The sequence below is a fragment of the Homo sapiens genome, chromosome 13 (assembly GCF_000001405.40).
Source record: "Homo sapiens chromosome 13, GRCh38.p14 Primary Assembly".
NCBI classification, from domain to species: domain Eukaryota; kingdom Metazoa; phylum Chordata; class Mammalia; order Primates; family Hominidae; genus Homo; species Homo sapiens.
In genome coordinates this window covers 29,762,648-29,782,411 of record NC_000013.11, presented here as the reverse complement: position 1 = coordinate 29,782,411, position 19,764 = coordinate 29,762,648, and the positions used below count along the sequence as shown (strand labels likewise).

The 19,764-nt window shown below is 34.7% G+C and overlaps 1 protein-coding gene across 2 annotated transcripts in view; it reads left to right on the top strand.

Moving 5' to 3' along the window:
- The window catches only part of UBL3 (ubiquitin like 3), an 86,247-nt gene extending 68,206 nt beyond the window's left edge, over positions 1-18,041 (top strand). For both annotated transcript variants that reach the window (NM_007106.4, XM_047430394.1), the window contains 4 exons: positions 5,149-5,257; positions 10,214-10,300; positions 14,717-14,794; positions 15,105-18,041. In NM_007106.4, the coding sequence (NP_009037.1) occupies positions 5,149-5,257; positions 10,214-10,300; positions 14,717-14,794; positions 15,105-15,157 (327 nt within the window). In that variant the 3' untranslated portion in view covers positions 15,158-18,041. The remainder of the gene's footprint in view (positions 1-5,148; positions 5,258-10,213; positions 10,301-14,716; positions 14,795-15,104) is intronic.
- Positions 18,042-19,764: the final 1,723 nt, after the last annotated feature.

The window sequence follows — 19,764 nt, the reverse complement described above, 5'->3', positions numbered from 1 at the left end:
GAAATATGAAAGTGTAATATCAGTTTATTGGCAACTGTGATGTGTGTTAGTTTTAAATTAGGAAATGCTGAGAATTTTGTGGCAGGAACCCAGTTAAATTTATGGAGTACAGTATGTGTGTCTTGTTTTGTCTTGTTTTGGTTTGGTTTGGTTTTCCTCTCACAAGCTTTTAAGCTTGTGAGTGGAAAAAAAGAGATTGGGAATGTTCAAAGATAATTGAACATTATCTAGAACATCTAGAACAAGGACATCTAGAACAGAAGGTCTTAGGTTCAATGAATAGTCTTCAAAGGATCCATGAATATCTTATAACTTTATTTTTAAATGTTGTATTTCTATATTTCTGTGCTTAATGTTTTCTATAAAAAGTAGGCTTTGTTGATTTATGTTTATTTTATTTTTTTTTTTAGAGATGGGGTCTCATTCTGTCACCCAGGCTGGAGTGCAATGGCATGATCATTGCACTGTATCCCCACAGCCTCGAACTCTGGGTGCAAGTAATCCTCCTGCCTCAGCCTCCAGAGTAGCTAGTACTATAGGCATGTGCCACCACACCTGGCTTTTTTTTTTTTTTTTTTTTTTTAATTTTTTGTAGAGACAGGGTCGCAATTTGTTGCCTAGGCTGGTCTCAAACTCCTGGCCTCAAGCTGTCCTCCTGCTTCAGTCTCCCAAAGTGCTGAGATTACAGCCGTGAGCTACTGCACCTGGCCAACTTCATTTTTTAGAGCAGTTCTAGGTTCACAGCAAAATTGAGAAGGTGGCAGAGATTTCCCATTTACATTTTTCCCCCATGCATGCACGGCCTCCCCTATTATCAGCGTTCCCCCACCAGAGCGGTATTTATTACAATTGATATGCTTATTTGTCTACTTAAGAAAATCATTTATATTTCTTTGAAAGCCCATACCGATACAGTACTTGATAGCGTTAACTTTTTAAAATATTAATAGTTTATTAGGAATATCCTGAAATGATTGAGTACTCTTTGAATTAAATGTTACTCTATTTTAAAAGTAATACAGACTTAATGTGAAAATTAGAAAATGCAGGAATACATGAAGAAACTAAAGATGAAATAAGGACTGTTATATTTGGTACATATCCTTCAAGACTTTAGTTTGTACATATATATGTGTGAGATATACACATCCATGCTATTGAAATATAACCAGAGTTCTGCTTTGTATTTTAGGGTTTTAAACTGTCAGAAGCACTATTTATTTATTTATTTATTTTGAGGCAGAGTTTTGCTCTTGTTGCCCAGGCTGGAGTGCAGTAGTGTGATCTCGGCTCACTGCAACCTCTGCCTCTGGGGTTCAAGTGATTCTCCTGCCTCAGCCTCCCAAGTAGCCGGGACTACAAGCGCGCATCACCATGCTCTGCTAATATTTTGTATTTTTATTAGAGACCGGGTTTCACCAGGTTGGCCAGGCTGGTCTCGAACTCCTGACCTCAGGTGATCCACTTGACTCAGCCTCGCAAAGTGCTGGGATTACAGGCGTGAGCCACCGCGCCTGGCTAGCACTTTTATTTAATTCAAAGTTATAAACTTACAAACTGCTGTACCAGAGAGGCAAGAAACCAAGTTGCTGTAATAAAACATTTTGGCAGCAAGAGAGTCCTGATCTCTTTATATGGAATGACAGGAAAACAAAGTAGAAAAATTTGTCACTGAAGATAGAAAATATAGGATAGGTAGGATAGGTAAATGTAGTCTTAGTTATACCTTTTCTCAACCTTATTAGTAAACAGGTTACTTGTTTAGCAACCCATGAATATTCTATATTTCGTAGCCTGTTATAGCACAGCAAAGGAATTTATAACGAAACTTGAATAAACAAGATGTTTTTAGATCCAAGTAATTTAGTTTTTAGTTTTTGTTGATTTTTTTGTCAACCTTCTCACCAATCAGTTTCTATTTTATCAAAAGCTGCTTCCCGTTTTAAAGGGAGCCTCACATTTCTTATTTGCTATATATATATATATAACTTATTATATATATATACACACACACACACACATATATATATATATATATATATATTTTTTTTTTTTTTTGAGACAGAGTCTCGCTCTGTCGCCCAGGCTGGAGTGCAGTGGCACAATCTTGGCTCACTGCAAGCTCCACCTCCCAGGTTCACGCCATTCTCCTGCCTCAGCCTCCCGAGTAGCTGGGACTACAGGTGCCCGCCACCATGCCTGGCTAATTTTTTGTGTTTTTAGTAGAGACGGGGTTTCACTGTGTTAGCCAGGATGGTCTCGATCTCCTGATCTTGTGATCCTCCCGCCTTGGCCTCCCAAAGTGCTGGGATTACAGGCGTGAGCCACCGCGCCTGGTTTATATTTTTCTTTGTGTGTATTATTCAACTTAGGCTGCCACAGCAAAATACAGTAGACAGGCAAAATACCATTGCCTTCTTGCTCTCCCCACCTGGAGGGCAGGAAGAGAAGAGGGAGAGAGCATAGGAGCCGAGCTCTTTCTCTTCTTATAAGGCCGCTGTGGTACAGACGAGGACCTCACCCTTACGATCTCACTTTAACTTTAATTACCCTATCCTCCAGACACAGTCACTTTGGGAGGTAAAACTTCAATACAGATTTTGGGGAGATGCGAGTCAGTCCATAGCAAATAGGCATGTGTTCTGTTGTTCCCACAATACTGTTTTATACCTGGCTGCTTTCTCTCACTTAATATATTGTGGCTATCTGTTCATGTCAGATCATACAGGTCTTTATCTCATGTCGTTTAACAGCTGCATGGATTTCCATGGTAAGGATATACTATCATTTATTTTCCCATTTCCATATTGATAGACATCAGGGAAAATCAAAAGTAGGCTTTGGTGTCACCTTTACAGATCCTAAAGACTAAATCTATTTCCTTTCATCATTTTTAAATATTATAATTTGAGTAAAAGCCCAATGGAAATTAATTTTAAGCTTAAAAAATTTTAAGAAGTATTAAGTTCACATAATTTGCATAACTCTTAATTAGAAAGCTTGAATTTAATTATATTTTTTCTAGTTAAACACAAGTGGCTGAACTACTAGGGGCAGAATTTCTTGGGCATTAATGACTGAAGAACCTTAAATATTCCGTATAAGTTCATAGGGTAATATGTATTTGTTATTCATACATTAAGAGAAAACCATGAGTAGTAATGTATCTGTGAGGACTGAAATTCATATTGTGTTGCATAGATGTTAGGTTCCTTGCTTGAAGAATTGCTCATTACTGATTTGCTATAGGAAATAAACAAGGTGGTACTTTCGTAGAGTGTAATCATTCTTGCAGACTACTTCTTGAACTTATTCAAGTGGAACTCAAAGTTTTTGGATCACTTCTTTACAGCAACATGTTATCAGATCTCTTCCTGTATTCAGCTATTTGGTATAATTCCATTCTAATTAGAAAAAGCAGCAAGAAATTCTTATTGGGCATATTGAAAGGGTTTTTCACCTGGAATGTAGATTATTTTCTTTTATCTTCTAAAAAACTTTTAATTGAAATATGTAGATAGAATACAGGTTCTAATATGAAATCTACTTCCACTCCATCTAATGTGAAATTCATTTGCATTACATTGAATCCAGAAATGTGTACATGCATTTTTATAGGGGAGATATTTTATAACTTTCAACAAAATTTTCAAATAATAAATTATCAAATTGGTGAGGTGCTGGGAGTGACATTGGCCATGGTGGTAGTAAACATAGTAAATCAGTGACTGCTGTAATAGGCACCAATTTATTCATTGTAGACTCTGACATCTTAAAGATTTTCTGGTATTTTTAATAAGAAAAAAAATTAGTAACTAAAAAGGAGAGCTTGGGTAACCTGGGACCTGGCACAATTCAAACTGGTGCAATGAGGTTCTCTGTTCTTTATATATAAAGAAACTAGGCTAGATGGCCTTACCAGGGCACAGCTCTGGACTGGACCCAACTTTTAGTAGGATCTTACTTACTCTTTTAACAAAGGCCAGGAGTAATAGGAACAACACTTGTATTTCTGTGACTTACAGGGAAATACATAGATATGGTGTTTTTTAAAAATAATATTAAATTAATTACAACAGATAAAAATTAAACATTTGGGAAATACATTAACAATGGTATAAGCAAATATATATTGACTTGGAAATGTGAAGCCAGTAGATCTCAAACACTTTAATTCTGTTATCCCCCTTAGGGTTATCACTGAGGTTGAATTTATATCCTTTGTCCCATGTGTCCTACCTTACTCCCCCTAAAAAATATATGGTCATGCAGTTGGGGCTAAAAGAGCTACTATTATTGATTCTTTCTTTAACCATGATAAAGTTCTTTAAAATTAAAGTTTCTTGGCTGGGCACAGTGGCTCACACCTGTAATCCCAGCAGTTCGAGAGGCTAAGGTGGGCAGATCACTTGAGGTCAGGAGTTCAAGACCAGCCTGGCCAACATAGTGAAACCTCATCTCTACTAAAAACACAAAAATTAGCTGGGCGTGGTGGTGAGCACCTGTAATCCCAGCTACTTGGGAGGCTGAGGCAGGAGAATGGATTGAGCTTGGGAGGCCGAGGTTGCAGTGAGCCAAGATTGTACCACTACACTCCAGCCTGGGTGACAGAGCAGAGACTCTGTCTCAAAAAAACATACATAGTTTATTGTTAATTCGTCTAGGTTTTAATAATTTTCATAGGAAAAAAACTTGTATATAGTTTATTTTCTTTTAATTATATTTTTTAAGAAGTAGAATATCAACTAAATTTTTTTTCTGTTTAGTGACGAGACCTGCAGTGTCAACATTTTTATTAATTTTTGGGTAAAAATGTATATTCTATAATAATAGTGATAACTTGCAAAAGTTCAATTCTGAACATTGTTGGAGTGATTAAATTTAAAAGTGTAATGAATTTTGGTTTTCCTTTGTTCATTTATTATGGCAAATATGTCTGACACACACACACACCCTTTAAATAATAGGAAATAAAATCAAATATCAAATTCCCATTCTTTTTAAAAAAGTTTTATAGAATTTAAATAAAAACCACAATATGGCATTGGTAATAATTTAGGATGTGATTGAAATGAAAAGCCTTTGAGTCTTCTTTTTTACTTAAAAAATTTTTAGATTTATGTTAAAAGAATCATTGTCTTCTTTCAGATAAATTTGCGCCTCATTTTGGTAAGCGGAAAAACAAAAGAGTTCCTGTTTTCTCCTAACGATTCTGCTTCTGACATTGCAAAGCATGTATATGACAATTGGCCAATGGGTGAGTGATATTTTTCTCTTGAGTATGAATAATGTTGATTCTTATGCCCTACCTTGTCTCACAAACATTTTGAAACTGTTATATAACATTTAAAAGAACAACCGAAAATTGAGAGTATAAGGCTCAGATTTAGAGGATCATTGTACCCTTCCTTATCTTGCTCTTCAGCAGTCTCATTCCCAAATGGTAAAGGAGCCCAGAATGCAATGGCTCTGCTTCTGTCTTAGAACTGTTTTAACGTAAGTGAAAAAAATTTTTTTTTTTTTTTTTTTTTTTTTTTTTTTTGAGATGGAGTCTCGCTATGTCGCCAGGCTGGAGTGCAGTGGCGTGATCTTAGCTCACCGCAACCTCTGCCTCCCGGGCTCAAGTGATTCCCCTACCTCAGCCTCCCGAGTAGCTGGGACTTCAGGCACGTGCCACCACACCCAGCTAATTTTTGTATTTTTGGTAGAAACAGGGTTTCACCATGTCGGCCAGGATGGTCTCGATCTCTTGACCTTGTGATCCACCCACCTCGGCCTCCCAAAGTGTTAGGATTACAGGCGTGAGCCACCGTGCCTAGCCAAAAAATATTTTTAATAAAGAAAAATGCAGCCAGGGATGGTGGCTCATACCTGTAATCCCAGCACTTTGGGAGACCAAAGCAGGAGGATTGCTTGAAGCTAGGAGTGTGAGACCAGCCTGTGCAACATAGCAAGATGTCATCACTGCTAAAAATTTAAAAATTAGCCAGGCATGGTAGCACATGCCTGTAGTCCCAGCTACTTGGGAGGCTGAGGCAGGAGGATCACTTGAGGCCAGGAATTTGAGGCTGCCATGAGCAATTATCACACCACTACATTCCTGCCTGAGCAACAGAGCAAGACCCTGTCTCAAAAAAAAAAAAAAAAAAAGAAAGAAAAGAAAAAAAAGAAAAAAAAACACAAAATAGTGAATATACACACACCTTCATATCAGTAAACCTATTTTTACCAAAACACAAAGAGGAAAGAACAACTATTTTTAACAGATAATACATTCTCTGTGGTCTTCTCTAGATAGCCTATTTAAAATTAAGTTTGAAACAAAGTTAACTTCTAATTCATGTCAGTTCTTATGTTCTCTGAACTACTATAAGGTCAAGATAATTAATGTCTGTCTGTGCTTTCCATTTTCAAGCCAGTAACCATAACAATCTTGGAAAATGTGTTTGGTATTTCTTATTTTCTTTGATTTTTTTTTTATATAATAAGACCGTCAGCTGGGCGTGGTGGCTCACGTCTATAATCCCAGGTCTTTGGGAGGCTGAGACAGGCAGATCACTTGAGGTCAAGGAGTTCAAGACCAACCTGGCCAACATGGTGAAACCCCGTCTCTACTAAAAATACAAAATTTAGCTGGGCATGGTGGTGCACCCCTGTAATCCAAGCTACTCAGGAGGCTGAGGCAGGAGAATCTCTTGAACCCGAGAGGCAGAGCTTGCAGTGAGCTGACATTATGCGTCTGTACTCCCGCCTGGGTGACAGAGCAAGACTCTGTCTCAAAAAAAAAATTGCCTCCCTCAAGTGAATTGTTGGTTTATTTTCTTCCTTTGAACTTCCCCAGTGTCATCTTGATCCTTATGTCATGTATCATAGTGATATGATTTTTTTCAGCTGATTTCACTTAATTTTATTAGCAGTAGCAATTTGAACTTTTAAAGGACAAGACTTATTTTGACAAAGAACATAGTATATGTACAAAATGAGTCAATTAGATTAGTGTTTCTCAACCTTAAATAATATACGGAGCTTTTCTAGAGGAAGATAATTCTTGTAGATCTCTAGTTGCTGACTTAAATTATTTTTATTATAATGCGTATTTTAAAATGTAGAAACTTAAACCCAGTTAAAACTCTTTATTCTTCTTAACTCATATACACAATCATAAAACTAAAAAAGATTGATTCAGAAAATGCAAATATAACTCTGAAACCAATAATGTTCAAGTTAACAACATTAATGTGCTAGATGATGTATTTTTGCCAAAGCCAGCTCACTGCTTACAGCATGAATACTGTTGAGTTTGTCATGCCTATGTTCCTACATAGTGTTTGATGACCAGGTTGTCTGTAGAGTCACCATAAAACCTTTATTTATACAGTATAACAAATTGTTACTCAGTTTTCTCATAGGTAGAATGCATCATTTACTTGTTAAGTGAACCCCTGTTCTGATCTCATTAGCCTCCTAACAATTAAAGAAGTACTGACTGCTTGGCACCAGTACAGTCATAAATTTAATGCACACGTGAGTACTAAAACCCCAAGGCTGCACTTGGGTTATAAAGTCACTATTTAAATCATCTAGACAATCTCCTCCAGATTTCATTAAAATGAAAATACAGATTTTCCAGATTTTCATTAAAAAAAAAAATACAATTTAAAACTTCTTGAAGAGGACTTTTAGACCCTAAGGACATGTCTTGGTGGATTCATAGGCCTAAATTTAAGAAATACTGATTTATACAAATACTTTCAACTACTGGATCTTTCTTCACATTAGTAACCAAGCGGCTAGTTTCTAAGTCAGGGAGATACTGAAGCTATAAAGGTTATAGCTAAGAAAGAATTTCAGAAAAGCTAAAGATATTTGGGATCTAAGAATATTGGCTATTCTTTATAGCCAGGCAGGAATAGATAACTATCAGTATGAAAAGCATTTTTAAATACCCAAGAATGATGTTGTTCTAAGTGTGATACAAAAAGATTACCTTTATGAGATTTTTTTTGGGGGGAGCGGTCATAGTAAGTAATAGCTTTTGATATATGGATATTATAGAAAACATAACACAAGGCAGAAAAAGGGTAATCACTCTGAAATTTATTTGGGCAGTATTGTAACTTAAGGTAAAAGAAATACTTTTACTTTCATAATTACTTACTTAGATATTAAAATTAGTTTAAATTCAAGTATAAGTCTTTGCCATAAATAGTATCCCAAATGAACAGACCATCTACCAGTACTGAATATTGATTGTATCAGTGGATGTTCCCTTATTTTCAAAAAAAAGATTTTGATTCCCAGTATTTCCTCAGGTTGCCAAATCTACTCAGCAGTTTTAGACACTGCAAGGAATAAAGAGAAATACTTTAATTTTTATTTTACATAAAATACTTAAATTAAAAATCTAAGTCTATATTGTATCACATAATGTACTAAAGATCAGCAAATTAAATACTTATTGATGTTAATAACAAATGTGTGGCAAATATTAATAGCAGAAAATACTTCGTGCAACATACTTGTTGAAGGAATTAGTTTTCCTTAGCATACCCTTCTGCTATTTAGTGGAAATATTACTAACAGGTGGAATAGTCAGACACATAGCTATTATTGGGTCAAAGGTTCAAAAAAATCTTGTTATACTTAGGATATGTTAATAACACCTGAAATTCTTCATTTAAGCTATATTCTAAGATTTCTCTAAATTTTAGATCCCTGGAGAGGGGAAGGGAGATAGCATATTACACCAGTGAAGTACGTGGAAATCATGACACTCTGTATAAGATAATGAAACATGGGGCTTCAGGTTTCTGCATCTCAAAAAAAAAATTCAAGTATTTTTAGAATATCAGTCTTTGTTTCCTGTGAATTAAACAATTACTGTCATTTACCTTTGTATCTATGGAGCACTTCCATCTTGACCAGAAATATTCTATTAAACAATAATTTTGGAATTGATGAATTCAAAGCAATTCATACTATAGTGTTAGAGACTTATTTGATCTTTCTTCTAGAATAGGAGGGACCTGGGAACAATGGGATCAGAAGGCAACAAAGCCTTACAGGAGACAGAAGAGGGAAGAGACTAAAGGCATGGAGCGGGGGCAGGAAATGACGGATTCATTTCTCCTCTGCTCATTTCTGCTGTGCCTAAGTTACCTATAGGCAGTGGTTTTATCAAATTCACATTCATCATTTTGAATAGTCAAAAAAAGGGCAAAAGAAAAGTCTCTAGTTACTTCCTTTATCTTCTGTCACTCTTTCAGAATACTTTAAACTATTTTTTTGTGTTAACCATTATCTCTTTCTATAGGAAACAAACACATTAGAATTGTTGACAAAAAAGACAAAGGAATTCTCAGATCATTACTAAACTCAAAGCTTAAATTGTTACATCTGCAAGCTCATGAAAATTACTAAACCTTTACCCTATCATAACACTAGTGTCCTTAAACCTTTATTTTAATGGAGTGGTTTCCATCTTTTACAATAATATAAATTATAGGCTGAAGTTAAATATTCTGTTACCCATTCTGCCTACCAGTTTGTCTTATTTTCTTTGTGTGTACACTTTTCTAGCTTTCATGTTTGTACAGTACCTCCAAATATATATAATTTTTTTGGTTTCTTCCAAGTCTTCATTTTGGGTGAGGTGAACTAAAGTTGTATCTTCTCTAATGTTTACTAACTGACTTCAGATAGACAATAAGATAATATATCAACATTATCCAAAAGTAAACAGTTTTTTTGTTATTCTCAATATCAATATATTAACTGTTTTTTAGATCTTTGTTAAGCCTGCTGTTTTCTAGCCTTAAATGTACATTTTAACAGGTACAAATATTGGAGCATTATAATACTATGTGTTAATTACTGGTAATTGAAATTAATTTTAAAATGATATTTCTTTTTACTCAGTAGGTCTTTCCCAACTCATTTGTATTAACTTTAAACTTGGGGACTACAATTTGGTACATTTTAGTATTCTTTAAGAAGCAAAACGAGTCTTTTTGCAGCTCTTGCTACTTAAAAGAATAAGTAATAACCAAGGTTGCGGTAAATGTATGAATAGTGACTGTTTCTAATAGTAGTAGGAAGCTCCAAGGGCCTTCTTTGTACTCTAACTGATTTGGATCTGAATTTTTAAAACAATATAGTAGTACCTTAATTATATGTTGGAATATACCTAACCAGTACACTGGATTCTTTTCAGACTGGGAAGAAGAGCAGGTCAGCAGTCCAAATATTCTACGACTTATTTATCAAGGACGATTTCTACATGGAAATGTCACATTAGGAGGTAACAGCCACCTTTGTAATGGGATTTAATGTCTGTCTCATGGTAGCATGATTCGCTTGTTTTAAATGTTAATGTCTTTGAATTTGCTAAAAAAAATGATAAATTCAAACTATGAATTCTGCCTATTTCTGGTATGCCTACTCCTTCACATTGTATATTCTGTTAAATTTAGTTTTAGGACTGTAGTAAGTATTTACTACCTTGTGAAATAAACTCTATCCCAGTATAGGTAGGATTCTATACCTACTATTTTTTAAATGTAACGTTATTATATTTCCAAATAATATATAATTCAGATGTAGTATTTTAAACTTAAGACTGGACACACAAACTAGGAAAAATTTATGATAGTTTTCAAATATATGAAGGGATGTTTTCAGATGTTTCTACCTGATACAGTTGCTAATCATGTGAGAATAAAGTAGGTGGCTGACATTAGAGCAGCATTTTAGCATAATAGTTGAAAGAACAGATTTTGGAACTAGACTATTTAAGTTATATGTTAGCTGCACTACTTACTGGCTGTGTAAACCTTGGGCAAGTGACTTAACCAACCTGTGTTCCAGTTTCCTCATCAGTAAAATGGAATTACAGTAGTGCCTACCTCATAGGTTAAGAAGGGTAAATTACTTTATATATTCAAAGTGCTTACGTGCATAAATGGTGCTTGGCACATAGTAAACACCTTAATTGTTAGCTATTATTGTTCTTTATATATGATTGGAGAAATGTAGCTCAATATTGCCCCCTTATGGGGTATATTTTCTACCATCAACAGGATTTGATGGTAGTTTTGAAAATAGGTATTTCAAATATATTCAGATAATTGGAAACGTATAGGCAAATGAAATGGTCTATCTAAATATATATTTCACTGAATATAGTCTGAGTTTTTCCTCTAAACCTAATATTTAATCTATTTTTCCTTAAAGGTAGAATATTTGCATTCATTCATTCAGCATGTATTTATTAAATTCTTATGGGCCAACACTGTGCTAAGCACTTGGGAATACAGGATTGAATAAGACAGAAGCTCTCCCTTCAGGTTGCTCTAGTATTACATAGGACAAACAGATAAAATGCACTGGTAAAAATCCTGGGCAATAAGGGCTAAAGTAGATGAATGCAAATGATTTTATGACAATGTCAAGTGAGTAAAACATTTCAGGCTGTAATCTCACACTGAGTTTCACTGGTAGTATTATAACTGGTCTAAAAAATGCTGCTATCTACTAAGAGATATCTGGCACTTTAAAATGGAGCTTTTTTGATTTGTAGCTTTTTTTTTATAGCTTTTGTATAAATAGATGGACCAACTCTTAATGCTCTTCATGTAAGAATTGACTGTTAGCTCCCTGGCTATATTGTACATTCATTAAGGATGGGACCATGTTCTAGTCTTTTTAAAATTCTCCATGGCTCATACAAGATCTTATGTGAATTAAAAATTGGTAAATGTTGGTTGAATTTAATCTATCGATTATATGAGTGAACCTTGAAATGCTCCATTTCCCTTTTGAGTATTGATCTATGTGAGCAATTTCCCACCAACTCCATTCCTTAATTATCTTTTCTGTTGTGACCTCAGAGTTTGAACTTCATATTAAAGCTCATAGAATTTGTGTTAAAATCAAAACTATTGATTTATTCCCACTAAAGTATAATTTTTTACCAGTATTTTTTTGAAATCTGTTTTAGAATAATGAACAGATTGACTTATGTAATTATTATTGTAATTCTGTGTTGCTGTCCTTCTTTTCAAAAACAATAAACTATCTCTAGTGTAGAAGCATGGCCTGGACCTCCGCGTTAATAATTGTAGCTGGATGTTTGAGCAAGTTTGGATAACAACATTCAACTATTTGTCTTTTGGGTCTCAGTTTTTCTTTTTAGCCTCCCTGTGTTCTTCAATGTGAATAATAAAGAAGATAGCACACAGGGAAATACAACCATCTTTAAATATTTGAGTGGCCTGTGTGGAAGAAGGCTTTGTGTGGCCCTAGAACTTGCTCTGTATAGCCCTGTGAATTAGACTTAGGATCAGTAACTGAAAATCAAAGACAGTTTTCTCTTCAATATAGGAAAGAATATGTGAACATGTTGAGCTACCTAAAGAAAGAATAGACTGCCAGGGAAAGTTAGTGAGATCTTGTTATAGGTAGTGGTCAAGCAGTGGATGACCACGAAGTAGTGGGTATACAGCCATGGGTGGAATTCAGCCATTATGCAGACAAAGTAGGAAGCCTGGGCATTCTCTGCCATTCTTGAAATTTTCTGCTTAAGTTTCAGGTTGAAATGTTTGGTTATCAAATGTCTTAAAACATAGCCCTGAATCCCCCCTTTTTAAAATAGAACCTTTATAGCCATATAGAGTTTCATTTCATTAAAGGAAAGGTGTGACAGCAGCCTTGTTAATCGGAGGGTGAAGAAGATGATCAGCTAAAGCTTTGGCATTCAGTATGGCCCAGATTAGCATTTCCAAAAATGTGGCTCTGAAATAGTGGGCATGAGACTCATCTAGGATACTTATTTTAAAATGCAGATTTCTGCATGCCCTCTCTCCCCAACCCCCATCTCCTAATTTTACTAGTGAATTGAATTCCTGGGTGATTTTTATGTACGCTAAAGGTTGAAAACCTCTATTCTGGATATTGTACTGTGTCATAGGAGAGAGCAGAAGCATCCACAGTGAAAGGAAGAAAACGCATTTTAGATTCTGGTATTCCTCTTCTTTCACATTTTTAAATGTTATTAACATCAATACCTACTATTTCTAGTTAAAATTCAGATGGAGAAGAAAAATAATAGCTCCCACGCATTACATTTGTAACTTCAAATGGTAAGCCTCTCAGGAGCTTTCCAGGCCTGTCTTGACATTTTTTACATATATATCTCAGTTTACCTACCTTTTTTCTCAGATTCATTTTCCTTGCTATCTCAAAATGATGATGGTAGTATATACTGAATGCTTTCTTTGTACCAAGTTCTGTGCAAAGCACTTTGCTTGGATTGTTTGATTTAATGGACACAGCTACAAAGGGCAGGTAATGGAATTAGTATCTCCAGTTTAGTTGAGGAAACAGAAGCTTAGAGGGTAAGTAACTTGCTGAGAGTTACACAGTTGGAAGTAGCAGAGATGAAAATTTGTAATCCAGGTCTGTCTTATTAGAGTCAAGAAGACGGGTATGAGAATGATATACAGCTTGGTATGTGTACATTTTAAGTTCAGTTCAAGGTTTGAAATGTTGATCAGGCTTTCCCAACTATTTAGTGAAAATTTTAATAACATAAAGTCTTACTTACATTTTGATTTAAGTCAGGCCTAGGAAGTTATTCTAAAAGCCTCCCTTTTTTCATTATGTATTTATGGGCCATCGTGCTTCATTTGAACATCAGAGGTTAAAAGTGTAGACCAAATAATGGCTGGCCAACTTTAAATGAGATTGGAACTCACCTTGAATATATGAAATAGTACTAGTGTTGAAGATAATTAGGATTCTTTTTAAAATCTGCATGTTAACCATCATCCTATAGAGCAGGTTTTAAAAAGCAGGTAGCTGGAGTGGAGGATCATTATTGCTAAGTGATGATCTTAGGCCTTACTTCAGTTTGTAGTTTTTGAAGAGAGGGTAGTTTGAGGTGTCAGAACTAAAACATAACAACTATAGAAACAGTTCTAGAAGCTAAATATACCAGCTGCTTCTAATTTTATACACAGAGTAACAAAGGGATTTACCATGAAACTCAGTATTTGTATTTGCCTTAGTGGACATGGGTGTGTGTTCTATGTCTGAAATATTTCATGATAAAATTTATTAAATTTATGAGTGAAAAAATGTTATAAAGACTTGATTAGGAAACAGTGATTATTGATAATGCCAAGAAAGTGATTATTTTAACCTAATCTTTTTAAGAAAGTTCTTTTCTAATGGACGAATACAGGGTGAGAATAAATGTTTAAAATCAAGTTTATTTCTTGCATTTCTACATCATAGTAGCCTGTTCAGTGCAGTAATTTTATTAGGCAATAGACAAGTAATTAGATTTAGAAATGAATATCTCTTAATCTAAACTTTTACCTAATATAGAAAAGAGTATTCTTTTAAAAAAAATTTAATCCTTTCTCCTCTAAAGGTGGCCTCTGATATTAGCCAATTACATATTTTTTCTTATATCATCTCTTAATATGGATAAATGTGTCAAGCAAATGGCTATATAACTGCAAAAAATAATTTCTAAATTTTAAATGTTATTTCTGATAATATTAACCTAATTTTGTGAAGGTACTCTGAGTTAAGTTGAATCTGTTAAAGAAGTCATAAAAAAGCAATCAATTTTTAAAATGGTTTTAAATCTGGATAGTGATTTTAATAGGTCGATATATGTGTAACTAATCATCTTTTGCTTTTCACATAGCATTAAAACTTCCTTTTGGCAAAACAACAGTGATGCATTTGGTGGCCAGAGAGACATTACCAGAGCCAAACTCTCAAGGTAAGCCATGCACTGGAAAAGTATCTCAGTTGAGGCACAAAGACAGGCATTCAAAAATGCTAGGTTTTTCTTGGATATGCTGAGGGAAGGGAAGTTTGCATAGTTTATGAATAGAGATTGTCAAGCAAATAACCAGACATTTTTGAAACATGCTAAAATTAAAAGAACATTTATTACAGCTTCTTAATTTTGAAAAATGCAAACATTTTTAAAAACTCAAAACTACTACTTCCTACACTTGATTGCCTAGCCCATTTTCCCCTCCAGTTCTAGAATTTTTATAAACGAGGCTCTTCTTCGTTTTCCCTAGGTCAGAGGAATCGTGAGAAGACTGGAGAGAGTAATTGTTGTGTAATCCTGTAAACACTGTCTGCCTAGTGTGATGTGATATAGTCTTTGTCTTTCATGCTGCTGGGACAGAAAAGACCCGACATTGCTTCAGAAACCGTTCAGAACAGTCTGCCTGTAAACACATGGAACTGAATTACCACATGAACACTGTCATCTTTTCTCATGAAAGTAAAAAGAACCAAGAACATTTTTCACTCTGATTTTTTATTTCTTGTATTTTTTGTTGAGCTGTTTTAACACATATTGGTTTTTGAATGCAGTCAATCTCCAGGGGAAAAGTTAACAAGTTATCTTTCGTAGCAGAAACCATTTTGCTGCCACAAAATTTTCATCATCAGAACTAATAAATCAAGTGTTCCAAATACAATTTGCATTAAAAAGATTGGCATTATTTTCCTCATCAGCAGAATTTATAACAGTGTGTGGTATCTAGAAATACTTATATATACAATTCCACACTGGAAGACACTCAGCAATTAATGAAGTTAATTACTGGGCCAACTTGAGAGGAAAAAATGGAAAAGAAACTAAAATGTTGGGTGAATTCTACCAAAGTCAGCCGTGGTGGCTGCACTGGCACAGAATACTAAACTGAGTGTGACTATTTTCACTGCAACAAATGAAAAAACAAAATGTGCCTGTTTAAAGCACTCAGTAGAGGGCTGATGAAACTAATTTTTTTTCCTTTAAGACATGCACTCTTGAGTCCTACAGTAACTGAGTGTTTGTTTAGACAGCACAAGAAGGGGTGAGAGTGCGTCTCCTAGCCTTAATGTGGGAGGGTAGTTTCAGTCACTCATCGGCTTTCATTATTGTGCAGAAATATTAGAAAACCTCATTGATCAATTTTATGTATTTGAATATCAGCAAATTGAAATTTTCCATAATTATCATTAATTTGTAACCACATCCAGTGTCATGCTTACTCCTTAGAGTTCAGATGAATTCTTAAAATTAAAAAAAAACTCCATAGTACTAATTTTGTTTCTTTATATAGTTTGCGTTTGATATTAGTGCTTGCAATTGTATTAAAGTCAAAAGCTGATTTTTATGGCATACACAAGAATGCCACTTTTTCTTTTATTTCATACCAATAATTTAAAGATTGATATGCTAAAAACAATTTGCACAGCACTAAAGCATGAGCTACTTTCATCTAAACCTGTAAAAATATGAAAGATTTTTATATTTTTTCACTGGGAAGAAATTCTTCCTGGATGAAATTACAAATATGTGTAGAATATATTTAATAAAAGACTTATAAAATACCTAACTACAGGACTTAAAATATAGATTGGCGCGTAGTATACAGAACAATATTCCATATAAATAAGTTTAGCCTTTATAAAAATGAAGTTGCAGGCTGACATTACATTCTGTACTAAGTGTCAACAGCCCTTACAAACATTAAATGTAAATGGTTTCAAATGGTCAGCGTTGTTTAAATGTAATCATGTTATTTTATTCATTGTTAATGCTTTGATGAAAAGGCTTTATATGCAGTAGATCTACGAAAATATTGTTCATACTGATCAGAATTAAATTTGTATAGAGCAGAGTTTTAAAATGAATGTAAATAGCACTAAACGTTTTCTTTCTGCAACCTGTACTTACAGATTCTTCCTGTAAACTAAATAAAAAAAAAATGATAGTGCATTTTGGTGGTAATTTTAAAGGTCTTGATTAGGTCAATAATTGTTTAAGCACCGTCTCATTCATGTTTTCTACTTTCATTTCTTAAGCTTTTAAAATTCATTTAATTAATATTCTGTTGTTGTTTTGGGGAGTATTCCCAATGTATCTTTGATATTTAACCTGGTTAATTTGTGGACAGTCACAACAATGGATAGAATTATGTAGTCTCCGTTATCACTAAAATGTTATCTTCAAGAGATGTTAAATATTTATATGCTTTGTTGACTAGCTGAAATGTGAATTCTGTTAGTGTTGACTAAAGAATCTGGTAGTTGCTTAATTGGGCAATTAAACAATTTATGGCTCTATTTTGTAAAACAAACTACTGGTAATTATTTTTAATACCTATTTTCATTCTGATTACTCTTTTTTTAAGTTAAAGACTATCAGTTAATTAAGATTGAGTTTTTATGATGGTTAAAAATAATTCTCTATTGGTTTTTCAATATATTTTTCTGTGTGTTCTCAGATTATATATTTCCCTCAATTTAGAGTTTGCTAAGTGAAATAAACTGGTTCACTAGTAGAGAAAGAATTACGTCGCTTAATACCTAATATCATAGTTGTACAATATGAAAAAAAAGAATAAAAAGTAGCAGTAAAATTATATACTGAAAACACCAAAAATTTAGATGCCTTAATAGTATATACGTGAAATACTCAGCTGTCCCTTTAAAAATAATTCCTTGGACTGCCTGGTGGTTAAAATACGATTCCTCATATCCAAGGCTACTTTTGAAGATCCCTCTGCCAAAAATATAGCTCACTTATCTAAAGGTGAGAGCTGCATAGATCCAGTAATGTACATAAAGCCTGAATGATGAGCCTATGTCCCTGCCTAACGCTGGTGTCTCACTCATCTCTTTTACCTAAATTGTCCTGAACTTTGTTAAGTGTTCTGGACAAGGCCAAGCTTTTCTTTATTAAAACCTCAGCATGTCTCCCTGATCTGAACTATTTGCTTTCTCTTCAAGATAAGTTGTATTTTACCATGGAAAAATACAGTATCTAACATTACCATTCACGTTAAATGAAGTTTCCTCATAACATTTATCTTTAGTTTTATGAAGTCATCGTGACCAATGTTACAGTAATTTCTGTTAGCTGATTGTGGTAAACAATGTTTAATGTGAAAAGAAATTAAAACTTTCTTCATCTGTTGTAGAATATTTCTCTTCTTTAAAATGGCTTCTATTCATAATTCTGGTGTATTTGCCTATTCTTTATTTCACTACTGTTTATGTCTTTTTTTCTTTCTTCAGTTAATGATACTCTTCAGTAAAAATCAACATTGAGCCAGCCTTTGCTATAGTTTAGCAAAATCAAAGGGAAGTATCAGCCAAAATTTAATATGCCTTCATACCGTTTTTATTTGTAACTTTTTCGAGCATTCCAGTTTGTTTTCCATTTTTGTGTTATAATATGGTCACTTGTTAGCCAAATGGAGTGATTGGGGTGGAGTGATTGGGGTGGGGGAGAAGGCACATGACCTATAATTACAAACACAGCTATAATTGAAACACAGCTGCAGGCTGTGCTGGAGTCTAGGCACAGTTTTTGTGGCCAGGGTAGGGTGGGGTTCTTGGGTGTGAGCAGTGGTAGTTGGGTGTGACTCCTGGCTTACCCTGACCCCCTGCCAGTTGGTGTGTTTCCTTCAGAAGGCAGTGGCTTCTATGAGGCTTTTACACAGGAGGTGGTTGACTTCTGAAAGAGATCATGGATAGAACTAAATGAGAAACACTTAGTTCTTAAATATCAGAGTTTAAAGCAGTACTGAAATGTGAAAACCAATTTCACTTACTACATTATTTTATAGTCTTCGACAGTGATGTCAGATGTTTGTCTTTTAATATTTTTCATATTCCTCTTTTTCAAAATGACAGCTTTCAAGAAATATGGAGTAGGCATAGTAAATTCCCATTTGGGGAAAGGAAATGCCCATCTCTTCCACGTGAGTCAACCAATAAAAAAGGAGTTGGGTAAACACATTTTCTAAAATGGCTCTGGAAGTGGTTTGTTGTTAGAAGTCTTAGAAGAGTCTGGCTGGTTTTAGAATGTAGTAATTACACATTCAAACATTATTTGGTATCTTTTATTTTCTACACATGTTCTTGAAGCTTATTTGATGTAAGGGAAGTCTTACAATGAAGTGGGAGAAACTTTGCTATAGTTAAATAATACAAGGAGGCAGCAGAACCTGGAGGGGAACCGGGACAAGCCGCAGCAGAGTGGGACCCTCAGAATTCTTGTAGGAACATACAGGAAGACATCTGGGAGTTGGCCAGTTCTCAGTTGTCTGCCAGACGAGATAGTTTTTCTTCTTCCCTGCATGCTGGAACCTGTTTCCCCTTATGTCCTTCCTTACCACATGGTTTTCCGTGGGCATCACTCACCTGGGTTCCATTAGGGTGCCACTCCCCCAGTGTTTCTCAGGAGCATTTTTTTTTAAGTCTGATAATTTTAACACATCTACATTTTGACTGATGCTGTTCGTCAGTCCTCAGAGTTCAGAAAACCACAAGAATAGCTGGGCTTTGGAGTCAAGCCTGACTTTGTTCTGGGTGATTTTGAAGAAGTTACTTAATATCTGAGCTTCAGTTTTTTCATTTATAAAAATTAACACATAGTTTAGAGGGTTGTAAGGTTTATTTTAAAATAAATATTTAGAGCACTGATTTGTCTGAGAACTCATGCAAGCTAGCAAACCTGTCAGAAGGCCTTATGTTGGAAATAAAGTGCTGGGCATCAACGTATACTCTAAACTTTATGGAAGTAGCTTATGAAAAGGCCAGAGAAAATGTGGATGATGCTGTGTTCATTTAAAAGGAAGATGAGTGGGGACATCTCAAAAATAAGCTCTGGAATAGAAGGAAAATAGGGGACCCAGTAATGACACAGCTTCAGATGTGTATATGCGAGGTACC